We start from the raw sequence: 25,356 nt of genomic DNA on the forward strand, positions 1-25,356 counted from the left end.
GACTTTAAAAAAGAGGATAATATGATTAGGGTTCTCTTTTTTTAGGTGGGACAGGGTCTCACTGTCACCCAGGCTACCATGCAGTGGTGCAATCATGGCTCACTGCGGTCTTGACCTCTGGGGCTCAAGCAATCCTCCCACCTCAGCCTCCTGAGTAGCTGAGTAGCTGGGACCACAGGCATGAGCCACTATGCCTGGCTAATTTTTTTTCTTAATTTTGTAGAGATGAGGTCTTGTTATGTTGCCCAGGCTGGTTTTGAACTCCTGGGCTCAAGTGATTCTCTTGTCTTGGCCTCCCAAAGTGCTGGGATTACAGGCATGAGCCACAGAGATGGGCCTCAGAATTTATTTTTAAAAGATATTTGAAACTATAGGTGACTTGGAAAAGTTAGACTTGAAGCAGAGAAACCAGAATGAGGAATATGACATCCAGATCTGAGGAAATAAGATCTTGAATTAAGGCAGTGGTAATGAGGATTAAAAAAAAAGATGTCAGACTAGTGAGATATATAGGATATGGAGGTTATAGGATTTAATGACCAATTCCAAGGTGAGAGTGAAGAAGTCACAGAGAATAAATCACCTGCCTCTGACTTGGGAAACAGAATAGAGAGTGACCCTTAACTAGAGTAGGTTATTCACAAAGCAGAGAAAGGTTGGTGAGAGAAAGAGTTAAACTTTAATTATGTTAAGTTAGAGGCACCATTGGGACATTCAGATAAAATGTCGCCGAGGCAGCAGGATATAATAATCTGAGGATCAGAACTGAAGTCTGAGATAGGGATAGAAATTTGGAAATCATTGGCAAAAAATGTGAGGTCATCCACGCTGATGAGATCAACCACAAAGAAGGATAGAATAAAGAGAGAAGAGGCTTAAGGAGTCGGCAGAGGGACGAGGAAAGGAGCTACAACCAACTTGTCAGCAGGGAAGAGGAGAATAAGGAGAGCAAGACCAACGGAGTTACCAGGGTAGTGTTCAAGAGAGAAGGAGAGAGATCAGTAGTAACAAATACTATAGAAGTCAAGTGAAACATGAAATGAAGGTGAAACTTACCCACTGGGCACAGTGTAGGAGCTTAATAATATTTGATAAATTGGATATATAAGCTACTACACACAAAGCGAATCATTGCTGATCTTGCCTCCAATCTACCTTCTTAATTATCTACACTAAACATTTTTTCCAAACCTTTTAGTCCCTTGAAGATAAAAAATACTTTGATTTAGTAACTTTCTCCAGAATACATTGGGCCTTCCTAACCCTCATGCTTTGTTGTATGCCATTCACCCTGGCTAAAATACAATTGATCTATGTCTCTACTTATACCAACCTACTGACCTCTCATACCTGGATCAAATCCCAACTTCCCCATTCAATCTTCCATGATTTTCCCAAACAGAAGTAATCATCACCTCCATAAAACTCCCAAAGGGGCCGTGCGCAGTGGCTCAAGCCTGTAATCCCAGCACTTTGGGAGGCCGAGGCGGGCGGAGCACGAGGTCAAGAGAGCAAGACCATCCTGGCCAAAATGATGAAACCCTGTCTCTACTAATAGTACAAAAATTAGCTGGGCATAGTGCGTGTGCCTGTAGTCCCAGTTACTCCAGAAGCTGAGGCAGGAGAATCACTTGAACCCGGGAGGCAGAGGTTGCTGTGAGCTGAGATTGCACCACTGCACTCCAGCCTGGTGACAAAGTGAGACTTTGTCTCCAAAAAAAAAAAAAAAAATACACACACACACACACACACACACAAAACTCCCAAAGGACCATTTTTTTAATCTATATCAGTAAATTATCAAGTTAATGTTTTTATTTATAACATTATCATATTCTATTTTTCTCTTGTTCCTTGAACAAAAATTTTTATCTTGTATTATAAATTAAATTTGTAGGTGTCTGTATCTTGCCTCCCATCTAGATGATAAATTCCTGGATAACAGGGATAAGACCTCATAATTTTCTCTGTTCCAAATATTTACTGAATGCCAAAAATGTGTGGAGCTCTAGTAGAGATACCAGGGATAGTATTGTAAATAAGACAGGCAACATCTTACCGTCATGGAGTTTATATTCTGCTGGATATACTTGAACTTATTATGTCCCTCAGCTCCTTCTCACTCACACTATCAGAACAATATACCTTACTGTTCTTGGGTTCATGAACCCCATGTCCTTTATAATATCCTTTATAAACATTTCCTAACCCTAGACTTCTAATATGACAGATGCTGAAGTGGAATAAGGGACGTCTAATTGAGTTATGAAGATCACTATAACATGTAGACTTTGGAGTCAGATTTTAGTTGAAATGTCAGATGTGCCATTTACTAGAAGGGTGACTGAAAACAATTTTTTTTGTTGGTTTTTGAGACAGGGTCTCACTCTGTCACCCAGGCTGAAGCACAGTGACACACTCAAAGCTTACTGCAGCCTTGAGTGAGGCTCAAGTGATCCTCCCACTTCAGCATCCCTAATAGCTGGGACTACAGGCGTGCACCAGCGCTCCTGGCTAATTTTTGTATTTTTTGTAGAGTCGGGGTTTCACCATATTGCCCAGGCTGGTCTTGAACTTCTGGGCTCAAGCAATCTGCCTGCCTCAGTACCCCAAAGTGCTTGGGATAACAAGCGTGAGCCACTATGCCCAGCCTGAACACAATTTTTAACTTTTTTGAGGTTCAGTTTTTTCATCATAAGAATTGTAATAATACCTATCATCCAGAATTACTGTGAAAGTCAAATGAAATAATTACATAGCTGCTAAGAATACATGTTAATTATGTTAAAAGTATCTTTAAAATTAAGAGGTCATTGCTCTGAAGAAGAAAGAGTAGTGAGGGGAGTCTAGCTCTACCAAATATTGAAACATTTTATAGTTACAGTAACCAAAATAATATAGTTCTAGAATATGAAAAGAAAAATATGAGTAAAGTAAACCAGAAAGCCTGGAAATAAGCCCCAATATATATGAAAACAGAGTATTGTCCTTAGTTGGAGAAAAAGGTCACACTCTGGTCTTCCTCTGGTTGTACCACTTTTGGCAGGACAAAGCGATATGCCCACCTGAAACCTGTCACCTCCCTTCACCTCACTTTGGTTACCCGACCTTTCATTGGCATTGCCTGACTCACTGTCCCAAGACCACTTCAAGGACTGTGTTAGACTTTCCCCTTCTCCATCCTCCTGAGAGTGGCCATGAAATCTTTATTGTACCCATAAGCCCCCTGATCAACTTAGAGAGTTCACCACTCTTTCCTCTTTGACGCTTTCTTCACTTGGCATCTGGCTCACCACTCTCTCTTGGTTTTTCACCTGACTCACTTACTTACTTGGTCTCCTTTCCTAGTTCCTCCTTATATCCCCAACATCTGAATTCCCAAGTACCTCAGGCTCAGTCTTCAGTCTTCTTCTGTCATTGCAGTCCATTACTAAATTATCTCATTCCATCACATGGTTTTAAATAACATCTATAAACTGACAACTTTCAAATTGATATTTCTAGCCCTGACACCTCCCTTGAAATCTTCTCTTATATATCCAGCTACCTATTTGATATCTCCATGTAAGTGTCTAAATAGGCATCTCAAATTTATGCCCAAACATTTACAAAACTAAACACTTTATTATCTACTACCTCAACCAACTTTTTTCCACAGCCTTTTCCCATGGTAGCAAATGACAAAATCTATTCTTCCCAGTTGCTCAGGCCAAAACCTCAGTCATTCTTGTGTCTTCTCCTTCCTTTGTGTTTCATGTCCAATCCATTAGCAAATCCAGTAGACCTTACTTACAACATTTGTCTGGAATTTGATCACTCCTCGCCCCACTGCCACTACTAATCAAATACAATTTGCCATCCTCTCTCACCTGGGTTACTCATCTGGATGAGCAAGTTTTATCTGTAAAGGGCCAGATAGTAAATATTTTAGGCTTTGCAGACTATAGAGTCTCTGTTGCAACCACTCAACTCTGTTCTTGCAGGCCTGAAGCAGCCACAGACATTACTTAAATGAATAGGTGTGGCTGTGTTCCAGTAAATCTTGATTTACAAAAACAGGCATTGGGCCAGATTTGGCCAGCAGGCCATAGTTTGCCAACTCCTGACCTGGATGACTGCACCGCCCCGTAACTAGTCTCCCTCTTTCTACCTTTCCTCCTAAAATTGAGACATGGGTGAAGGTGATAGCTTTGAATAAGAGGGAAGAAAGGAAAGATGAGTAAAAATATAGGTGAATTTAGTCTTCCCAGTTGCCTGAATACTCCCAGAGAAAGCACCAAGCGAGGCGACAAGCCACTGCCTGGACTCACAGTTGCCCCATAAATGGTAACAACCAAAACATGCTGACTCATCTTGACTACAACAAAGTCACCTATATTTTTACTCATCTTTCCTTTCTTCCCTCTTATTCAAAGCTATCACCTTCACCCGTGTCTCAAATGTCACAAGAGTGCATCATCAAGTAATGAAGATGGAGTATAATTGGGATAGACCTTACTGAAGAAGAAAGATTTGAACTGCACAGTGTTGCCAAGAGCCAGTTCCTACTGCCTAGAGTGAAAACACTTTTTCCGGCCTCCCCTTTCTCCAAAGGGCCAACAAAATTAAAATCTTTACAAAGAATTTGTATACATACACAATATAGTTGGGTCCTGAGCCCCTTTGAGACTGGCCCTTGAGCTGACCAAACTGTTCCTAACCCATTCCACCCGCCGTGTCCACCCTGGAGCTCACACTAGGGGGAAATTTCCCCAAAATCACTCCTAACACAAATACCTAACATTCAAAATCAGTGAACAGCTTTCAAATGGAGGTAATTCTCTTGTGAACAAAGTAGTATTTGAATTTAATCTTCCCAGTTGCCTGAATACTCCCAGAGAAAGCACCAAGCGAGGCGACAAGCCACTGCCTGGACTCACAGTTGCCCCATAAATGGTAACAACCAAAACATGCTGACTCATCTTGACTACAACATAACTCCTTAAAATACCATCTTCCCACACAACAAAGTTTTCACAATTAGAAGAGAGGTGGGACTATTTTAACATACAAATCCTATGTCTGTTTTTTCACTTAATAGCATGTGAAATACTTACCCTATTGTGGTGACAATAGCTCTTAGAGAAGCACAGCGTGTAGCCAGTAAAGATCTTTCTGAGGTGGTTTTCTTGAGGTTTAGGGGTTAAAAAACTATCACTTGTTAAAAAGTACATAAAGGATTTCCAGATGTAAATCATTTGTAAATTTATCTCAAGGGGTATTAGGAAATGAATAATGAAACCAGCACATACTATGTGCCTGGGAGGAAAACTTCAGGACAATAATTATCAAAATTATAATGAAAACCAAGTGGTAATTAGCCTCATTGGTTAAACTAATTAAGTGAGCAAAAAACACTTTCGGAAAATAAAATTTCAGATGTTTAATATTAAAGCATTTGTACTACAATTTCAGTATAGCTTTGAGAACATGTAAGTGCAATTTAGAGAGTCGTTCTCCGTATAATGGAGTGGTGGAAGCAGCAATAAATGATGTAAAAAGCACATTAAAGGCTACATGAATTCACAAGTCCATACTTTGTTTTAGTATGTCATCAGTGCTTGTGTTTAATGTCATATTTGAGTCTTCATTAGAGTGTCGCTCCTTTTGAATTCATGTGACTAAATATTACAGAGGTTTAGGCTGGTGTTAGCCCAGAATATTTTTGACCACCAAGTCATTGAAAACTGTGCTATTTATCGTTACCCCCAACACAAGGGGGGAAAAGTGCTGTATATTGGAATTATTTTGCACTTTAACAACCAAACTTTTCTAATGAAGACTCTATATCCATCCATCTACTATACATCCATTAATTTATTTGCTCATTTATCAATTTCCCGGATGCCCGCCTTTTCTTTCCATGGCAGTGTCCTAGGAGCTAGGGTTACAAGTAGCTTACAGTCTGGTTGGAGGAGTCATATTTGTAAATAGATAAGTGCCATTAATTGTTATAGCTTCTGCGTTAGGAGTACCTACAGGATTTGGTGGGGCCCAGGGCAGTAGCAGTGAATGGAGGAATGGACGAATGGACGAGCATGGGGAGGAAGCTCTGCAGAGGAGGAAGTGCTGGAGCTTTGTTCTTTTGTCTCCTTTATTCATTCTGTTCCCGCTTCCTACAACACCCTTCTCTCACTTCTGATTGGGCTAAACCTTGCTCAAAACTTTAAAAAGTGGTGTATAGCCTGTAACCCCTGCACTTTGGGAGGCTGAGGCGGGCAGATCACTTGAGGTCAGGAGTTCGAGACCAGCCTGGCCAACGTGGTGAAACCCTGTCTCTACTAAAAATACAAAAATTAGCTGGGTGTGGTGGTGCGTGCCTGTAATCCCAGCTACTCAGGAGGCTGAGGCAGGAGAATCACTTGAACCCAGGAGGCGGAGATTGCAGTGAGCTGAGATCACACCATTGCACTCCAGCCTGGGTGACAGAGCGAGACTCCGTCTCAAACATAATAATAATAATAATAAAAGGTGTACATATTTTCTTAACCAGTTATGTATGAATGCATCTTAATTATGTAAAATATTGAAATACAGAAGTATATAAATAGTGGAAGTCTTTCTTTACCCTGCTCCCGTTATTCTTCTACTTCGAGGTAGTACTTTTAACACTTTGTATGTGTGCAGAACTTTTTCTGTATATCTACCTGTGTTCATATATATATGCCTTTGTGTATTTATGTATATATATTCATATTAATTATATACAAACCATAAAATAAATACTGTTTTCAGTTTTTTATTTCACTTCACAGTTTATCATAGGGATTGTTTCATTACAGTTCTTCTATATCAAAATCCAGGAGTTGGAAATATCTTTTTTTTTTTTTAGCCAATTCCCTATGGATAAAAATTTAGAATTTTCTCCCAAATTTGCACTATTATAAATACTGAAATGAATACCTACAGACATATTTATGTACATGTGTATGTCTGTAGACTATATACCTGAGTGGAATTATTAAATTAAAATTATGATAAATGCTGTCACACTGTCCTCCAAAACCCATGTAGCGATATGTACTTCCACCAATTTGGTAGAAGAGTGCCTGTTTCTCTACACTTTTACCCGGTGAGAATGTTGTCAATTGTTGAACATTTTGATGGTCAGATAGTGGAAAATGTATTGTTTTAGTTTCTACTTCCCTTACTTCTGGTGAGATGAAACATCCTTCATACATTCGTTTGAAACTATCTTTTTTTTTTTTTTTTGAGAAACGGTCTTACTCTGTCACCCAGGCTGGAGTGCAGTGGCACGATCTTGGCTCACTGCAACCTCCACCTCCTGGGTTCAAGTGATTCTCCTGCCTCAGTCTCCCAAGTAGCTGGGATTACAGGTGTGTGCCACCACACCTGGCTAATTTTTGTATTTTTAGTAGAGACGGGGTTTAACCGTGTTGGCCAGCCTGGTCCCCAACTCCTGGCCCTTAGGTGATCTGCCTGCCTTGAGCTCCCAAAGGGCTGGGATTACAGGCATAAGCCACCACGCCCAGCCTAAAACTAAACTTAAAATATGAATTGATTGGTGGTTGGCAGAGGGAAAAATACAAGCAAAGACCTAGATCTGTTAATTGCACAGTGCCAGTGTGTTATAGGGGGACTGAAATTGCTGAATACAGGGGATGAGAGGGTGATTTCAAGACTAATGGGGATTAGAGAAATAGATAGGTGTCCCATAATAAAGGACTTATTGTACCAGTTGCTTGGACTTTACCCTGTAGATAATGGAGAGCTATTCAAGGATTTTAAAACAAGGCTGCAAAAAGGCCAGATTAGCTTTTGAAAAACTTCATCTTGCAGCTGTGAGAGAGCACAGAGACTGGACAAGAGGAGAGCACATTTGCAAGAATGGCAGTTCACTGAAGGAGGGCAGTGGTACTGGGTGTGTAAGGGGGAGGCTATGAGAGAGGGGAGGGAGACAGAAGCCACAGCACTGCTTGTAGAATGTCTGTGAGGAGTGGAGGATAGAAAGCCAATCTGAGAGTCAGTTTTCCATCTAGACAGTATTGGAGTGGATGGTTCTCCAGGAATCTCTCACTCTAGCAAATAATGTTACACAGAGGTTGCATTTAAACTAATTATGTTTAATTTTAGTGAGGTTTCTACAGAGATGAATATTTAAAAGAAAATCAGAAAAAAGTGCACATTTACTTAAGAGAAAGATACTGGTTAAAAATAGCTAGAAATAAGGCCGGGCATGGTGGCTCACGCCTGTAATACCAGCACTTTGGGAGGCCAAAGAGGGTGGATCACGAAGGTCAGGAGTTTGAAACCAGCCTGGCCAACATGGGGAAACCCCTCTCTACTAAAAAAATTAGGCAGATGTGGTGGCACATGCCTGTAATCCCAGCTACTCGGGAAGCTGAGGCAGGAGAATCACTCGAACCCAGAAAGTGGAGGTTGTGGTGAGTGGAGATCATGCCATTACACTCCAGCCTGGGTGACAGAGCAAGACTCCATCTAAAAAAAAAAGAAAAAAAAAAGCTAGAAATAAATGAATCTGCAAGGAAAAAATAATGGAAAAATGAGAAAAGAGAAAGATTTTTATTTATTTATTTATTTATTTTTTGAGATGGAGTCTTGCCCTGTCACCCAGGCTGGAGTGCAATGGCATGATCTCAGCTCACTGCAACCTCTGCCTCCTGGGTTCAAGTGATTCTCTTGCCTCAGCCTCCTGAGTAGCTGGGATTATAGGCGTGCACCACCATGCCCGGCTAATTTTTTTTTATCCTTAGCAGAGACGGGGTTTCACCACGTTGGCCAGGCTGGTCTCGAGCTCCTGACCTTGTGATCTGCCCGCCTTGGCCTCCCAAAGTGCTAGGATTACAGGCGTGAGCCGCCATGCCTGGCCTGAGAAAGATTTTTTAATGAGTAAAGAAAGAAAAGAGTAGAGGAGAATATAAAGAAAACTGAGGGTTTTTTTCTATTTATGTATTTATATTTCCTTTTGCATACATTTACATTATGTTTTGGAAATAATATATTGACAATACAGAATGTTAATTCATGGAAGACAGTAGATCCTGAACCATGTTTGATAAAGATCTCGAAGTGTCTACTGCTCATAAGAGTACTGTTCTTGAATAATAACACACCTATCTTGAGAACCTGAATTTAACCATGCAGCATGCTCTCAACCTCCTAATGTTACTTAATCTAGAAAGAAATCATTATGTCTATTTTATAGAATAGAGTCCTGAGGCTTGAAAATGGTTACTTGTACGTATTACACGTTAGATATTTGATTCTGTTAGTCACTTATTATTCATCCTTTCTTTGATTGCTGGTAATTTTCATGGGCGTTCTGAAATCCCCTAACTTGGCCCTAACTGGACCAAGTGTGCCCTCCTTGGAGTTTTTTTCTTAGACACAGGAATTATTGCTGCTATTTAAGTCTGCCTATGCTAATCTTTAGACAAATAATGATTTATCTTGGTCCATGGTACTTTTTATGCATGTCTGTAAAAAAGAGTTTTGGTTGAAACATCCTATGAAAAAACATGCTTTACTATTAATATCTTCATAAAGCTGCCATGGAATAAAAAAATATTAACATGGAAAGCATAATAGCGATGTTGTATATTTGTATTATTTTATTTTATAATTTTTATTGTTAGAAAGTTAGAAAATACAGAAAAGCACAAAGAAAAATAATAATTGCCATGTGCCTGTAGTCCCAGCTATTCAGGAAGAAGAGGCAGGAGGCTCACTTGAGCCAAGGAATTTCAGGCTGTAGTGTGCCATGGTAAAGCTTGTGATTAGCCACTGCACTCCAGTCTGGGCAACATAGTGAGACCCTGTCTCAAAAATCATCAATATCATCGTCATTATCATCCATATTCACACCATCTCAAACAAACCACTATTATATTGGCATATTTTTCACATTTTTAAAAGAAAAATTAGTTTATTGAATGACTTACAGGAATTCAAACAACAGAACTGCACAAAAATAAAAGTTTGAAAATCACCTCAAATCTACCACCCAGAAATGACCATGATTAGCTTTAGAATAATATACATTAGCTTTATACTGTGTATATATACACATTCTTCTAAGCATACATACAGATAGAAAGAATACCTTTATAAGCATGGGGTCATGCCATTTATATAAACATCTTAAAATTAAACTTACTTGAATTTAATAGAAGAGAAATTGAAGGAATGGCTGAATTTCAAATAAATATTCCTCTATCACCACAAGATACATTATTTCCTGAAGAATTCTAAATACTCCAAAATATGAAAAGACTGCATTGTTGCACTTTTTATAAAGCCACGTTTTGATTGTATGTATCATCAGTGACTCCTTACTTTGAAAGATAAAAGCATTAACATCCTCGCACTCCTACTCATCTCTCCATCCCCTTCCTCCCCTAGCTCAAAACATTTACCTGTTATTTTTATCTTCATAAATCTCATTATTTTCTGCAGGCACAGCTAACATATTGAAAAATCTTCTGCCTACTACCTCTGCATTCTCAATTATTTTTTATATGGATGTAGTTACTCCTGAAAAGTCCCTCTCCTCACTGTCAACTACTAACCTAAAACTGCCACCACAACCCAGTGTTGGCTGCTCAAGACTTTCTTCCCCCGCCCCTGTCTCTCTAATAAGGCCCATGAGAAAGGTAAATGGAAAAATACCTAGAGGATGAGCAACTCCATAATTTCACTTAGCTTGAAGGGAGAGGGAAAGAAGCTGTGAACACACAGGCATTAATAATTTTGACCCTGTTAAATTTTTATAACAGTACAATTTTCTGGAATACTAGATATGGACAATAGAACTCAAATGATGCAACTGGCTTCAGAGAACTTACTGAAGAAGTTGGGGCAGGAGGTCCAGGAAGAATAGGGTCAAAGGCAGGGAGTGATGAGAAGGGCATTCTGTCTCTAGTTCTGCAGTGCACAGCAGAGGGGCTGGGCCCAGGACTCCCACCACAGGGCCGTGCAGCCAGCCAACTCATCTCCCTGCTTCCTGCACGTTTAAAGAGAAAGCTCAGTACTCACTGCTAAGCATCTGGCTTGACAGCAGGGAACATTCAGTTAATGGTAGTTCAGAGGAATTGCTGTGTTTGCAGCTGTTTCTTCTTGATAAAATAATTGTTGTTTCAAATGGGAAATTATTATGTGGAATCAGAATCAAATGTAAAAGCACTGTCGTAGCACAGTTTGATTTACTGGTATATAAATAGGTTTTGGGAAAAGAAGGTATAACATGAAAAAGTATGATCATTGGCTGGGTGTGGTGACTTATGCCTGTAATCCCAGCACTGTGGGAGGCTGAGGTGGGTGGATCACTTGAGGTCAGGCGTTCAAGATCAGCCTGGCCAACATGGTAAAATCCCGTCTCTACTAAAAATACAAAAATTACCCAGGTGTGGTGGTGGGCGCCAGTGGCTCCAGCTACTTGGGAGGCCGAGGCAGGAGAATTGCTTGATCTGGGGAGGCGGAGGTTGTGGTGAGCTGGGATTGCATCACTGCACTCCAGCCTGGGTGACAGAGTGATACTCTGTCTCAAAAAAAAAAAAAAAAAGGGAAAAGAAAGGAAAAGAAAAAGTATGATCATTATACATGGTGGATTAGCACTTTCCCAAAGATCCAAAGATAACAATGCCAGAGAGATGTGACATAGGACTGAAGCAGCGTGGTCACACATCAAATCAACAACTTCACATATTTTCTAACCCTGTTTCATGGAAGGCACACACACTCTTGAGAATGGTATATGGCAACCTGCTTTGCCCAGACTAAAAGCTCAGTCACTACTAGTAGGTACAGAAAAACTGTTAAAAACAATTATGTGTATTATTTTTAAACATTTCAAAAGTCTTGTGCCAAATGTCAAGCTGTGATTTACCTATAGTAACTATTAGTCGAAGAAATTAATGAATAAATTATTTTTGAATTAGTAGATTTTTTTTCCCTTTAACTCCGTAGTGCCCTCATTCTAGAAAGACATAATGCAACTTTTTTCTTAAAAGATCAGATAGTAAATATTTTTGGCTTGCAGGCTGTATGGTCTCTACTGAGACTACTCAGCTCTGGTGTTGTAGTGTGAAAGCAGACATAGACGATATGTGTACCAATGTGGATAGCTGTGTTCCAATAAAGCTGTATTTATAAAACAAGAGGCTGGGCTGGGCAGTCGGTTGCTGACTCTGGTTGGCTACACTCCCTGTTAGACATCTGGAGATCAGAGATTGTTGCTATGGCCTGTGAAAGCAATTCCTAGTCCTTAACAGGTTGTAAACTGGTGTTTATAATAATAATGTGTTCCCCTGGTAATAAAAACTTAAATTGACATCCCTGTTTTCTAGAAGACATAAATACTTATAAATTATCTTTGTTGAACAGAACAAGATTATTGGCCTTCTGTCTTTCCCTTGTGCCTGAAGGTAAAAGACAACGATTGTGTTACAGGTTTAGTTCTCTAGAAGCAAAGAGCAAGGCAGAGCTTTGGAAGCTAGATGTTTTATTAGGAATCAACACTTACGAAAAGTAAGGGAAGGGACCAGGTGTGGTGGCTCACACCTGTAATCCTAGCACTTTGGGAAGCCAAGGTGGGCTGATTGCCTGAGTCCAGGAGTTCGAGACCAGCCTGGGCAACATGATGAAACCCTGTCTCTACAAAAAAAAACAACAACAAAAATTAGCCATGTGTGGTAGTGGGCACCTGTAGTCCCAGCTATTTGACAGCCTGAGGTAGGAGGATCACTTGAACCTGGGAGGCAGAGGTTGCAGTGAACTGAGATTGTGCCACTGCACTTCATCTTGGGTGACAGAGCAAGACGGTGTCAAAAAAAAAAAAAAGAAGAGAAAGAAAGAAAGAAGGAAAGAAGACAGAGAGAGAGAAAGAAAGAAAGAAAAAGAGAAAGAAAGAAAGGAAAGAAAGAAAGAGAAAGAAAGAAGAAAGAAAGGAAGAAAGAAAGAAAAAGAAAGAAGAGAAAGGGAAGGGAAGGATGTGGGACTGGGTGAAAGGAGAAGTAGAGCTGCTATGCAGATTCGAAAAGCCTCATCTGATCTGGCACAGAATGTTGAGAGAATAGTATCAAGTGGCCAAGGCTTTATTACACCCTCACATAGTCATCAGATGCACACAGCCGTAGGAAGAGGAAGGTTTTGGGCAAAGCAGTTCTCTGGAAAAAGCTCATCACTAAAGACATCTGCTGACTGCCTGCCCATTGCCGGGCATCAAGTCCTTGAAGAGGCATCTGTGCAGGGAATCTTCGTATCTACCACAGAGAGCTAAATGTCTTAAGAAAACAAAAAGTCTGAAAGTGTGTCTTACATAAGTTAATACCAGTGATGGAGTAACTTGGAGAAAAACAGCCATATAGCCATTGAGCAGGTTAATTTCATCCTTTTCATTCTGTTTTCCCTTTTTGTATATAGAAATATTCCTCTTTTTTTGAGATGGAGTCTCACTCTGTCACCAGGCTGGAGTGCAGTGGCACGATCTTGGCTCACTGCAAGCTCCACCTCCCAGGTTCAAGCGATTCTCCTGCCTCAGTCTCTGACTAGCTGGGACTACAGGCATGCACCATCACGCCTAGGTAATTTTTGTATTTTTAGTAGAGACAGAGTTTCACCATGTTGGCCAGGATGGTTTCAATCTCTTGACCTCATGATTCACCCACCTCAGCCTCCCAAAGTGCTGGGATTACAGGCATGAGCCACCACGCCTGGCCCTCATTTTTAAAGAATAGTTTTGCTGGACATAGAATTCTTAGTCAACAGTCTTTTTTTTTTTTTTTTTTTGAAATGGAGTCTTGCACTATCATGCAGGTTGGAGTGCAGTGGTGCTGGAGTGCAATGGTGCGATCTTGGCTCACTGCAACCTCTACCTCCCAGGTTCAAGTGATTCTTGTGCCTCAGCCTCTCGGGTAGCTGGGATTACAGGTACCCGCAACCATGCCCAGCTAATTAGAGATGGGGTTTCACCATGTTGGCCAGGCTGGCCTTGAACTCCTGACCTCTAGTGATCCACCCACCCTTGGCCTCCCTAAGTGCTGGGATTACAGGCGTGAGCCACTGGAATTCTTGTTTGACAGTCTGTCTTTCAGCATCTTGAATCTGTCATCCCACTGCCTTCTGGCATCCATAGTTTCTGATGAGAAGTAAACTGTACATTATATTGAGTATTCCTTGTACTTGATGAGTCACTTTTTCCCTTGCTGCTTTCTAGTTTCTCTCTTTGTCTTTTGACAATTTGCCTATGATGTGTCTAGGTTTAGATCTCTTTGAGCTTATTCTACTTGGATTTTATTGCACTTCTTGGGTGTGTAGATTAACGTTTTTCAACAAATTTGGTTAGGTTTTTGTTATTTTTTGTATTTCTTTTTTTCTATCTTTTAAAGACTCTCATTAAGTGTAAGTTGGTATGTTTGATGGTGTCCATAGGTATCTCAGGATCTATTCATTTTACTTCCTTCTCTCTCTCTCTTTTTCATTCCTTAGACTGGGTAATCTCAATCGATTCATTTCTTCAATTCACTGATTAATTCTTCATTCCTCTACCAATTCAAATCTGTGTTGAGCCCATTGAGCATGAGTAATACATGGTATGTTATTTAAAAATCATATATGTACCATGTAAACAGTGAATAATTATCTTTTTCACACTGACACGAAGGTTTCCAAAAAAATTATATTGTAAGCCAAAAACAAAATATTGTAGAAGGTCTAATTTATATCAGCTACATTTTCAGATCTCAAAATGCACTAAATTTACCACTTTAAAATAAAAAAACACTCTTTTAAATAACTATTGGGTCAGAAAAAAAGAAGATTAAACTGGAAATTACGGATCATCTGAACATTAATGATAATAAAACACATGAAACTGTTCCTATGTTTAGAGGCCAATTTATAGATGCAAATGCTTTTATTATTTAAAAAATTAAAATCTAAGCATCGTCTTAAGAATGTGAAAAAAATTGCAAAATTAAAAAAATTAGGCCAGACAGGGTGGCTTATGCCTGTAATCCCAGCACTTTGAGCCCAGGAGTTCAAGCCCAGCCTGGACAGTATGGTAAAACCCCATCTCTACAAAAAATACAGAAAATTAGCCAGGCATGGTGGCACACACCTGTAGTCCCAACTACCTGGCAGGCTGAGGTGGGAGAATCACCTCAATCTTGAAAGTTGAGGCTGCAGTGAGCTGTGATCATACCATTGCACTCCAGCCTGGCCAAAGGAGTGAGACCCTGTCTCAAAAAAGAAAAACTTTAAGTAATAAAAGTTGTAGACCTAAATGAATTACAAAAGAGAAAACTAATCTATAAACCCCCAAAAGTGCTTTTTAAAAAATTATATTTTATGGTGTTGGTCTTGACAATGTTTCTTTATAATGACTAAAAAAATAGACATATTATGGTCCAAGAAGCTCTTTCATAGACAAACTGGACCACATTGAGGGCCTTACATAGTCTACACTACTATAATTGCTCTCCAAATATAATAGTGCTTAATTTTCAATAGTTTCCACTTAATAATATGTCTGCTTCATTTACACATATGTCGTTTTACTAATCTGTACAATATCAATGTGGCTGTATTTTCAGCCATCTCTATGGTGAAAGTGTGTTATGAGCATTTTTAAGCAGAATAAATTAAATAGAATATTGTTAGGAAAGAAGTATGTACTATTTGAAATAGAAAACATAAACATGTTCCTTACTATAACCAGGGTTTCTGGACTTTGGATTCTCCGTAGCACTAACTGACCTTCTGGACAACCAAGCCACTAGAGAATTCAGCCAACCGAGGCTCAGCAGGGACATAATCACACACCAGTGCAACTGGTGCCTCAGGGAAACTGTTGAAACTTGAAAACCGTGTGGGAAGGCGGTAAGCAGCTTTTGCATGCATAGAATTTGAAATTTGTGCTTGAATCTGGAGTCACCTTCCTCTTTTTCCTGAGTCTGGGTACTTTGGTGAACTTTTAAAATCATATTGCTTTAAGCAAGTACCTTGCCATTTTTCTTATGGACACACCAAATGGAAAGCAGATGTTTGTGATTGAGTTATTAAATTTTGTTTGACAAATAAATTGCATTATGTCTTTCTAGAATGAAGGCACTACAGAGTTAATGGGAAAAAAATCATTCTACTAATTCAAAAATAATTGTTTCTGAGAGATGAGTCCCTTTTTATTCAGTTATTTCCTCACAGGAAATCATGAGACTAGGACCAGGCCAGAGGGAACACGTAGGTCTAATTTCCTCCTCACTGCATACTGAAAGAAAGACTGAAATGAAACTGCCCTGGACCATGGCTGCTTACCACAGGCTGGATGGTTAATGTCTCACATATGATGCCATTTATAATTGAATGAGCCCAAGTTTGGGAAATGTACTGTCAACTACTGGGTTTACTTTGTATAGGTTATGGAGAACAAAGGATCCCTGGGAATGAAGGTGGGGAAATCTCAAAGAAAATGGTAGACCCATTGTCAATTTTTTGGAGGAAGAAATAAAGAAGGCCTTGAACTAGGAGAAGAGAGGACTTCATCCTCTCTCTTGGTTGGTGGTAGTGGGCCCTGACCGGGTAAGAAGAACATGATAAAGATTCATGACTGTGAAAGATAAGATGGCATTGGTCACTTGTGACATACTAAAGGCAAAAAAGAGAAATGGTTGAGGGGATCTCAGTGCAAGGCAATGGCTAATCGACTCTAGGACAAATATCTAAATTTCCATTTTATATTTTTTCTTTTGTATCTTTTAATTCCCCTTTAATATTTTCAAGTAAAATTTTAAGTCCTGCTGTCGATTGTTATCTAAGTTGTGTAGCTCTAAGGAATGGGCCTGTTTTCATAGCTAAAACAGAATCACGTAGGAGTGTGAGTTTCCCCCATTCTTCCCTCTCCCCTGAAGTCAACTTAATAGTAGTTGTCAGAAAATTGAGTGGGCATCATGGCTAAGTGGAGAGTATTTGTCATATGCCAGGCAATAGCTAAAGTGCAAGTGGATGTTATTGCCGATGTGAAACAGCCTCTCCATAATATTCCAAGGGGAGGAAATTGGTTAAGGGATGGGCAGATATTCTAATATTATAGGAGGGATTGGCTATCTGTCCAGTAGATATTTTAGTTAGAGTAAGTCAGTCACGTAGAAAGAGTCACTCATGCCAGCTAGAATAACTTGGCAATTAAATGGTAGTAGCTTGCAGTACTTTAGACTTATTAATGCCATAGAAAATTCATTTGAAGGAATAAATTACCCATGGTTGATAACTATAATAAAATTACAAGATCATTACCTTTTTGAAAATGTCTAATATTGAGAAAGAATATGACAAGAACAGAACATTGACTTTTGCTACACCAAAAGAAAACCACAATTAAAATGAATGCAGCCTGCTGCCCATATGACTTTTTCCTATAATGTCTTTGACAAGATTGGAGGGACTTGCTGGCCATCAAGACATGTAGACTAATGTTTAAATGTCAAAAGCAGATGTTGTTTGGAGTCTCCGTTTATGGATCAAAGGTACAAATTCCTCCTGTTTCCTAGGAAAATTCTAGAACACTCAAGATTGTTAATAATCCAGGGCTTTCTGTGATTTTTTTGGCATGTCAGGATTCCTATTATGTTGCTTAATACTCCTAAACACATGCTGAGCGGATTATTTGCTTACTACAATAGCACTGTGGGAAACAATTTGATTTACAAAGTACTGTAGTTCTTCAAAGGCATGTTTTAGAAACCTAATTAGAGATGGGCAGCAAAGAGGGGAGTGCAGATACTATATATATTATATATACACATAAAACGTATATAATATGTAAAATAAATTATATAATATTAAAATATGATATTATATATATTGTTCAGCATCAGCTTTGTCACAAAAATGTTGCAGTTCAATTACTCTTTGTATACATACAATATCTGCACATTTTGACAATTGCAGAGTGGTAGAATATTACTGCTTGTTTGCACGCAATTATGAATTTTACATGAGTCACAACAAATTATATGTAAATTGATGCTGTATGGCTATTTTAATGAGCTAGAACAGGGTTAGCAAACTATGGCCTGAGGACCAAATTTGGCCACATTTAAATTATCTATGTGCCTGGAGTTAGTCAAACTACAAAGTTTGAGGACACAGTCCCCAAGAGTGCTCCCACTTCCAAAGTTAACTGAAAGTTCGGGAGGTTCCAAAACCACCTTCAGGTTTGATAGTTTGCTAGAAGGATTCATAGAAGTCGCTGAAAGCTATTATACTTATGGTTACAGTTTATCACAGGGAAATAATGTGAATGAAAATTAGCCAAAGGAAGAGACAAAAAGGACACAGTCTGAGAAGGTTCCAAGTGTGAAAACTTTTATTGTCCTCTACCACTGACCAGCTGGCATTGATGTGTGACAATATGCATGGAGTATTGCCAACCAGGAAATCAGCTGAGCTTTGGTGTCCACAGTTTTTAGTTGGAGTTTCATTCTGTAGGCCTGATTGATTGATTGATTGATTGATTGCCTGAACTCAGTCTCCAGGTCTACTGATGCCTTGTGACACAAAGCCCCCACTCAAAGTCGCTTGGTTTGTCTTTCTGGCTTGGCCAGCTCTCACCTTAAACAAAGACAATCCTATTAGTTATGACATAGATGACCTTCCAGAAGCATTTTGTATCCATTGATTAAAAATAAATTAATCACAGATTTAATATAATTAATGCCACTACCAATGTTTAGCCCTATGACATTCAAGAGCAAATACTACTGGTAAGAACAAGGATGATATTTAGAGACTGTCCTTGGTAGGGTTGAATTTAAACCTCTAATTTTGTTTGTTTTGTTTTATTTTGGGAAAAGAGCCAGTAGTAATGGGCTTAGCATACCATCAAACAACTTTTTCTGAGGGCTTCCTTTCAGCAAGGCAATTGCCAGGCACACAGTTCTCCAATCTTTCTTATATCTGTTTCAGACCACAAGGGAGGAAAAAGGTGATTTACAAGCCAAGGCACAAAATTATTTCAGTCAAAACAGTTTATTCTAGATCCATAAAGCCAAGTTTTTCAACTCTAAGCCCCATGAAAATTGTTTTCTTTACATACCAATTAAGTCAAAACTAAGCCATATTCTTTCTCCTAAACTTATTTTTTAGCCATGAAAGTAATGAATGGTTAGCAAATAGTGGAAATTAGAGCAAAAACAAAAAAACAAAAACAACAAAAAAAACAAGAACCCAGCCCATTGTCTCATTTATCTTTTAATTTTAGCTTTTTAAAATGAAGCCATATCTCTACTCTTTACACTATTTATTGCACCTTTTTCCATTCATTATCATATTTGTTTTTTCATGTTATTACAGATTCTTTTAAAATATCATTTAAATGGTTATGTGATAGTCCATATATGAATATTGCATTATTGATTTAACCATTTGACTTTAGTTTTCTGTTTTTCTGAAATAATGCTTTTTGTTTTTTGTTGGGGTAATACATCAGAATGTCATTCCAAAATCTTTTTCTCAAATTGATGCAAGCTGGTAAGGTAATCCAGAACCTATCGTCTAACAGATGTCAGTTGCTTATATGACAAAACACATGCATTTACATATAAATGAAATTTAATTATCAAGTCAAATAAGCTTTTTTATTTATAGTTTTCTTTATCTTGACAAATACTAAGAAATATTTAATACTACACCTCTGTGATGGTTAATTTTAGATGTCAACTTGACTGGATTGAGGGATGCCTGGATGGCCGATGAAGCATTCTTTCTGGGTATGTCTATAGGGATTTTTTTTGGTAAGAGATTGGCATGTGAGTTGGTGAACTGAGTGGGGAAGATTCACCCTTAATATGAGCTAGAGGCCCAGATGGAACAAAAAGGTGAAAGGCAAATTCTCTCATTCTCTCTCTTTCTCTCTTGTGGTGTGGCAATACACTTCTCCTGCCCTTGGACATCAGAACTCTAGGTTCCTCAGCCTTTGGATGCTGGGACTTGCACCAGTGGCTTCCCAGGGCTTTTGGGCCTTTGGCCTTGGACTGAGAGTTATTCCTTCAGGTTCCTCAGTTCTCAGGTCTTCTGATTTGGACTGAGCCATGCTACTGGTTTCTCTGGTTCTCCAGCTTGCAGATGGACTATTGTGAGATGTCTAAGCCACCATAATTGTGTGAGCCAATTCTTGTAATAAACCCTCTCAACTATCTATCATCTATCTATCTATCTATCTATCTATCTATCTATCTATCTATCATCTATCTATCTATCTATTTATATTCCTTTTGGTTCTGTCTCTCTGGAGAACCTTAACTAATAGTCTCCTGTGTATGTTTAATGGAACCAACTTTCCAGAAACATTGCACTTGTGAAAGAAACAAAAAATCTGTGTTGTCTAGGGTCAGTGAAACTTGTCTTAGTCAGTATGATGTGGCTTGTGGTGGGCAGTCACATGGTTAGAGAATTAGAGGGTGCCCTCTATGAGTCTGCTACCCAGAAAGTATGAAGTATGTTTTTTTCCTTCTTTTTCATGTTTTAAAAAATTGATACACACTTTGGGAGGCCGAGGGGCAGGCAGATTGCCTGAGCCAGGAGTGCGAGACCAGCCTGGACAACATGGTGAAATCCTCTCTGTACAGAAAATATGAAAAATTACTCAGGCGTGGTGGTGCACACCTGTAATCCCAGCTACTCAGGAGGCTGAGGCACAAGAATCACTTGAACTTGGGAGGTGGAGGTTGCAGTGAGCCAAGATCGTGCCACTGCACTCCAGCCTGGGCAACACAGTGAGACTCTGTCTCTAAATTTAAAAAAAAAATTGATACATAATAATTGTACATAGTTATGGGGTACATGTGATATTTTGATACATGCATATAATGTATAATGATCAAATCAGGGTAACTAAGGTACCCATCTACCCATCACCTTAAACATGCATCATTTCTTTGTGCTGGGAACAGCACAAAGTTATTTTGAAATATACAATAAATTATTATTAACGATAGTCACTCTACTGTGCTATTTTATTTTTATTTTTATTTTTGAGACGGAGTTTCACTCTTGTCACCCAGGCTGGAGTGCAGTAGTACAATCTCGGCTCACGGCAACCTCCACCTCCGAGGTTCAAGCAATTCTCCTGCCTCAGCGTCCCAAGTAGTGGAATTACAGGCATCTGCCACCATACTTGGCTAATTTTTGTATTTTTAGTAGAGACGGGGTTTCACCAAGTTGGCCAGACTGGTCTCAAACTCCTGACCTCAGGTAATCCACCTGCCTCAGCCTCCCAAAGTGCTGGGATTACAGGCATGAGCTACCGCACTGTGCTATTTTAATCTCAGCTTTGCTTCCTAGCTGGTGGCCTGTACCCCTCCACCTTCTCCTCTTGATGTTACTACTTTTCTCTGTAGAATCCTTCTTGACCACCCTCTTCTTCCACCTAGAAGTGCTTAATGTTGCTCTTATTGCTGCTCAGCCTAACCCCTTCTCTCTGTTCTCCCAACATTGAGAGTTATTTATTCTCAAGTGAGGTATTTCTTCGCCCACATGGGGCAGAGCTATTTCTTCTCAGTTTTTCACGGGCTTCTAGTGATGATAGCTCTTTATTTAGCTTCCTCTCTATTAGGGCTTTTCTCTCCCTAGGAATTTGGCTCGAGTTTCTGAGGGCTGGACAGGAAGGCAATCTGAGTGATGCATTATCACTCTGCATTCAGAACTGCCCTCCCTCTCAGATCTCAGCCTCTGTCCACACACCAAGTCTGACTCTCCATCCTCTCCTCTGGGGCTGAACTCTTTCTCTATTAGGCACACTGCCTGTGAGGGGATGAGGGGTGAGTTTCTGTTCCCCAGTGGCTTCAGGGCTACAGCCTTCCTAGAGGCTGGCTGACAACATCTCTCACTGTCCCTCCTGAGATGGTGGTCGTTGGCCGTCTAAAAGTTGCACTCTGGTGAGGCTGTCTACAGGCTACCTTGACATGTTTAGACTTGTCTCAGTTCTCAACTTCTCAGCTTGAGCTAATGTTCTGGGACTCTCACTCCATTTATTTGGAAATTACTGAACTTGATTATTTTTGTGTTAATATTAATTTTTAAAATTTCACATCGTTAAATCTCCATTGAGTGATTTAATGTGATTAATTTCTTCAGAACCTTGCCAGACAAAATAAATGTTTTCTGCTCTTATTTTGTAATCTCTGATCTTCTGGTGTCCTTTATGGTGAAAAGGCCGTCACAAAGTAGGCAAAGGGAAAACAATTCTTTTGTAGTTGTATCTTTGTATACACAAGTTTTATTTTTCTTAAGAAATATCTTAAACTTTTATGTACTATGATAAAATATAGGATTATGGCAAAAATTTAGAGCATATGATAAAAACTGTGTTAACAGAGCAAATCATAAAAAGAGTTTAGAAAAAATGCTGTTAAGTGAGTGCAAATCTGATGTGAAAAAATTTAGTTTTATTCATTTTTTAATTATTTTTAATTTTTATTTTTAGATGGAATCTCGCTCTGTTGCCCAGGCTGGAGTGCAGTGGCGCAATCTCGGCTCACTGCAACCTCCACCTCTGGAGTTCAAGCGATTCTTGTACCTCAGCCTCCTGAGTAGCTGGGATTACAGGCATGTGCCACCACACCCAACTAATTTTTGTATTTTTAGTAGAGATGGGGTTTCAGCATGTTGGCCAGGCTGGTCTCGAATTCCTGACCTCAAGAGATCCGCCCACCTCGGCTTCCCAAACTGTTGGGATTGCAGGAGTGAGCCACCACGCCCCTCCAAATTTATTTAGTTTTAATTCCATCCTTTCATCCATCCACCCCTGCAGTCATTCAGCTTCTACCTTCTGTCAGATGCTGTGCTAGGTGTCAAGGATATGAAAATGATTCAGGTGTGGTGTGCGCTCCAGAGATATATATCATCTAAAGGGGGACAGAGATGTGTCAAGAGGTGTTGTAGAAACACCATTTGTGCCCCACATCACATTCCTTTGGTAACCTCTGACTTGGGCCACAGCTGCAGTAGACAGTAATAGTGCATAGTGATGGCTTTCCCTGAAGCTACTTGACTGCCGTGTGTGTGTGTGTGTGTGTGTGTGTGTGTGTGTGTGTGTGTGTGTGTTTAATTTACATTGCAGGGTGGGGGGAATCTGAACCAATGAGGACAAGAGTTGGTGGATAAATGCCCCTGGTTCCTCATGTTTCAAAGGCCAATTCTAAGAAACACTCTACATGGTTCCTCAGCAGATCCCCCTGGGACTGAGCCTCCCTCACCCCGCAGTTGTAACCCGCTTAACAATTCTGCTTTTATCGTCTTTCCCTGTTACCTGTCTCATTCTCCACTCTCTCTCACTCTGGCTTCCTGGGAACATCATCCAAATTAATGATTTGTACCCAAATCTCTTGTCCCTTGCACCTAAGGTCCTTCTTTTGGGCAGAACCCACTTACAGGATTACTACTACAAGAAATTTTTTTTTTTTGGAGGCAGAGTCTCGCTCTGTCACCCAGGCTGGAGTGCAGTGGCACGATCTCGGCTCACTGCCTCCCAGGTTCACGCCATTCTCCTGCCTCAGCCTCCTGAGTAGCTGGGACTACAGGCACCTGCCACCACACCTGGCTAATTTTTTTCTATTTTTTAGTAGAGACGGGGTTTCACTGTGTTAGCCAGGATGGTCTCGATCTCCTGACCTTGTGATCTGCCCGCCTTGGCCTCCCCAAGTGCTGGGATTACAGGAGTGAGCCACTGTGTCCGGCCTTTTTTTTTTTTTTTGAGACAGGGTCTCATCGCCAAGGCTGGAGTACAGTGGAGCAAACACAGCTCACTGCAACCTCCACCTCCAGGATGCAAGCAATCCTCCCACCTCAGCCTCACAAGTAGCTGGGAATATAGGCACAAGCCATCACGCACAGCTAATGTTTGTATTTTTTTTTATAGCGATGGGGTTTCACCATGTTGCCCAGGCTGGAAAATAATCTCTATAGATGATAAAGATATAAGCAGAGTTCTCTGATAATTAATTTTTGGGGTAAGAGTTGCCAGGAAAGACCATAGGCCAATTGCAGGAGCCAAAGAAAGGGAGAAATTTGAAATTGATCATTGAAAAATAAGCTCCTCCAATTTATTTAACTTTAGCTCAAGATGAGATATATATAGCCATGGGATAATATAGAGGAGGCTAATTTGCATATCTCATGTTATTCGGATTAGTTATATCTGCCTGAGGCCTTCTGGGCCTTCTAGAAGAGTCAGTGACAAGTTGGAGTTAATGCCCAGTCCTAGGACTAAGCAATTTTTAAAACAAAAAATAGGAACAGGTCTATGCTTTCACTTCTGAAACCATTTCTTGATCAGGGAGGATGCTTTTAAGCGGGAGAATGTCAAGGTGCCCCGGCTTGGCTTAGTGATAATGGTTGTGATGAGGGATGAAAGGACAGTTTGCTTGTGACACAGCATGGTGGTTTTTTACTGTCTTCTAACCAAGCTTCCAAGGGAACTTGTGCCAAATTACATGAGAGAAGGACTGAAAATTTAAAGGGAACATCAAAAGGGAAAGTTATCATTCATCAAAGCATTGTAAAAAACTAAAATAATAAAGACCTCCTTGTAGAAGACCAATTTTCTAGCAGAGCCCAATGCCTTGGCTAAAACCCCTGGAGAATATGAGGTGTGAACAGATCCACACTGGTGTTAATGGAGGGAACCATGTCTGCTCTCAGGTCCAGATCCTAAAACCATGCCAAGTGGCAGGCAGAACCATCAAGGTTCCTGAGGCCACAAATGGAGGGAAACCAACTGTGAAACCCCAGGGACTGGTCAGATGAAGGGAGGTGATGCAGTGGAGGTGGGCGAGAGAACTGGAGATTGTGAATATAATTATTCACATCTCTGTCACTGTTTCTCCCCAGTCATCTTGTAGTTGCACATTGGGGAAGCATGAGTTACAGTGGTGTGCTTAATAAGCAAACAAAATTGTGTCGCTTCTCTAAAAACAACAAAAACATGGAATTCTCTACTTGGGCAGAATAATAAAAGCCTACTATAGAATACAAAGACAAACAACATAAAACCCCAAATATGAGGCCTCTATTTTGCATAATAATTCTTAAAATAACCCTCATATTTACTTCACTTTTCCAAATTCCCATTGTTCATATTTGTAAAACGAAGATAAAGATACTTAACCTCCCAAAATTATGTTGTTATACAAGAAAATATCTGTTTCACCTCCAGCATTTCGGTGCCTGACATACGCCAGGGTGTTCAAGAAATTTCAGCTGTTTCTACTCTCTGTTCACATAAGGCAGGGAAGATAATAGCATTGTAAATAAACCTAATTTCTTTTTTTGAAAACTCTCAGT

General features: G+C 39.8%; 1 long non-coding RNA gene across 1 annotated transcript, besides 3 other annotated features; it reads right to left on the reverse strand.

Annotated features, from left to right (window-relative positions):
* Window positions 4,884-5,028: an enhancer, noted in NCBI's record as "145 bp enhancer 287 fragment used in the MPRA reporter construct; PK_construct_3735". NCBI's record gives its function as "activates an SV40 promoter by MPRA in K562 cells {active_cell/tissue: K562}" and the evidence as "EXISTENCE:reporter gene assay evidence [ECO:0000049][PMID:23512712]".
* Window positions 4,951-4,961: a transcriptional cis regulatory region, noted in NCBI's record as "NFE2L2 motif; enhancer activity is reduced when this motif is scrambled". NCBI's record gives its function as "necessary for full MPRA enhancer 287 activity {active_cell/tissue: K562}" and the evidence as "EXISTENCE:site-directed mutagenesis evidence [ECO:0005528][PMID:23512712]".
* Window positions 17,306-17,973: an enhancer, noted in NCBI's record as "OCT4-NANOG hESC enhancer chr5:77637103-77637770 (GRCh37/hg19 assembly coordinates)". NCBI's record gives its function as "activates a minimal SCP1, AML or CMV promoter by ChIP-STARR-seq in naive H9 embryonic stem cells {active_cell/tissue: H9 hESC(naive)}" and the evidence as "EXISTENCE:reporter gene assay evidence [ECO:0000049][PMID:30033119]".
* LOC124901010 (uncharacterized) lies at window positions 18,357-19,101 on the reverse strand. Its single transcript, XR_007058829.1, has 2 exons — window positions 18,896-19,101; window positions 18,357-18,627 (listed from the first exon to the last, which is right to left on the reverse strand). It is a non-coding gene; the product is annotated as an uncharacterized LOC124901010 (long non-coding RNA).
* Between the last annotated feature and the right edge of the window lie 6,255 nt (window positions 19,102-25,356).

This window comes from Homo sapiens, chromosome 5 (genome assembly GCF_000001405.40).
Source record: "Homo sapiens chromosome 5, GRCh38.p14 Primary Assembly".
Classification (NCBI taxonomy): Eukaryota; Metazoa; Chordata; class Mammalia; order Primates; family Hominidae; genus Homo; species Homo sapiens.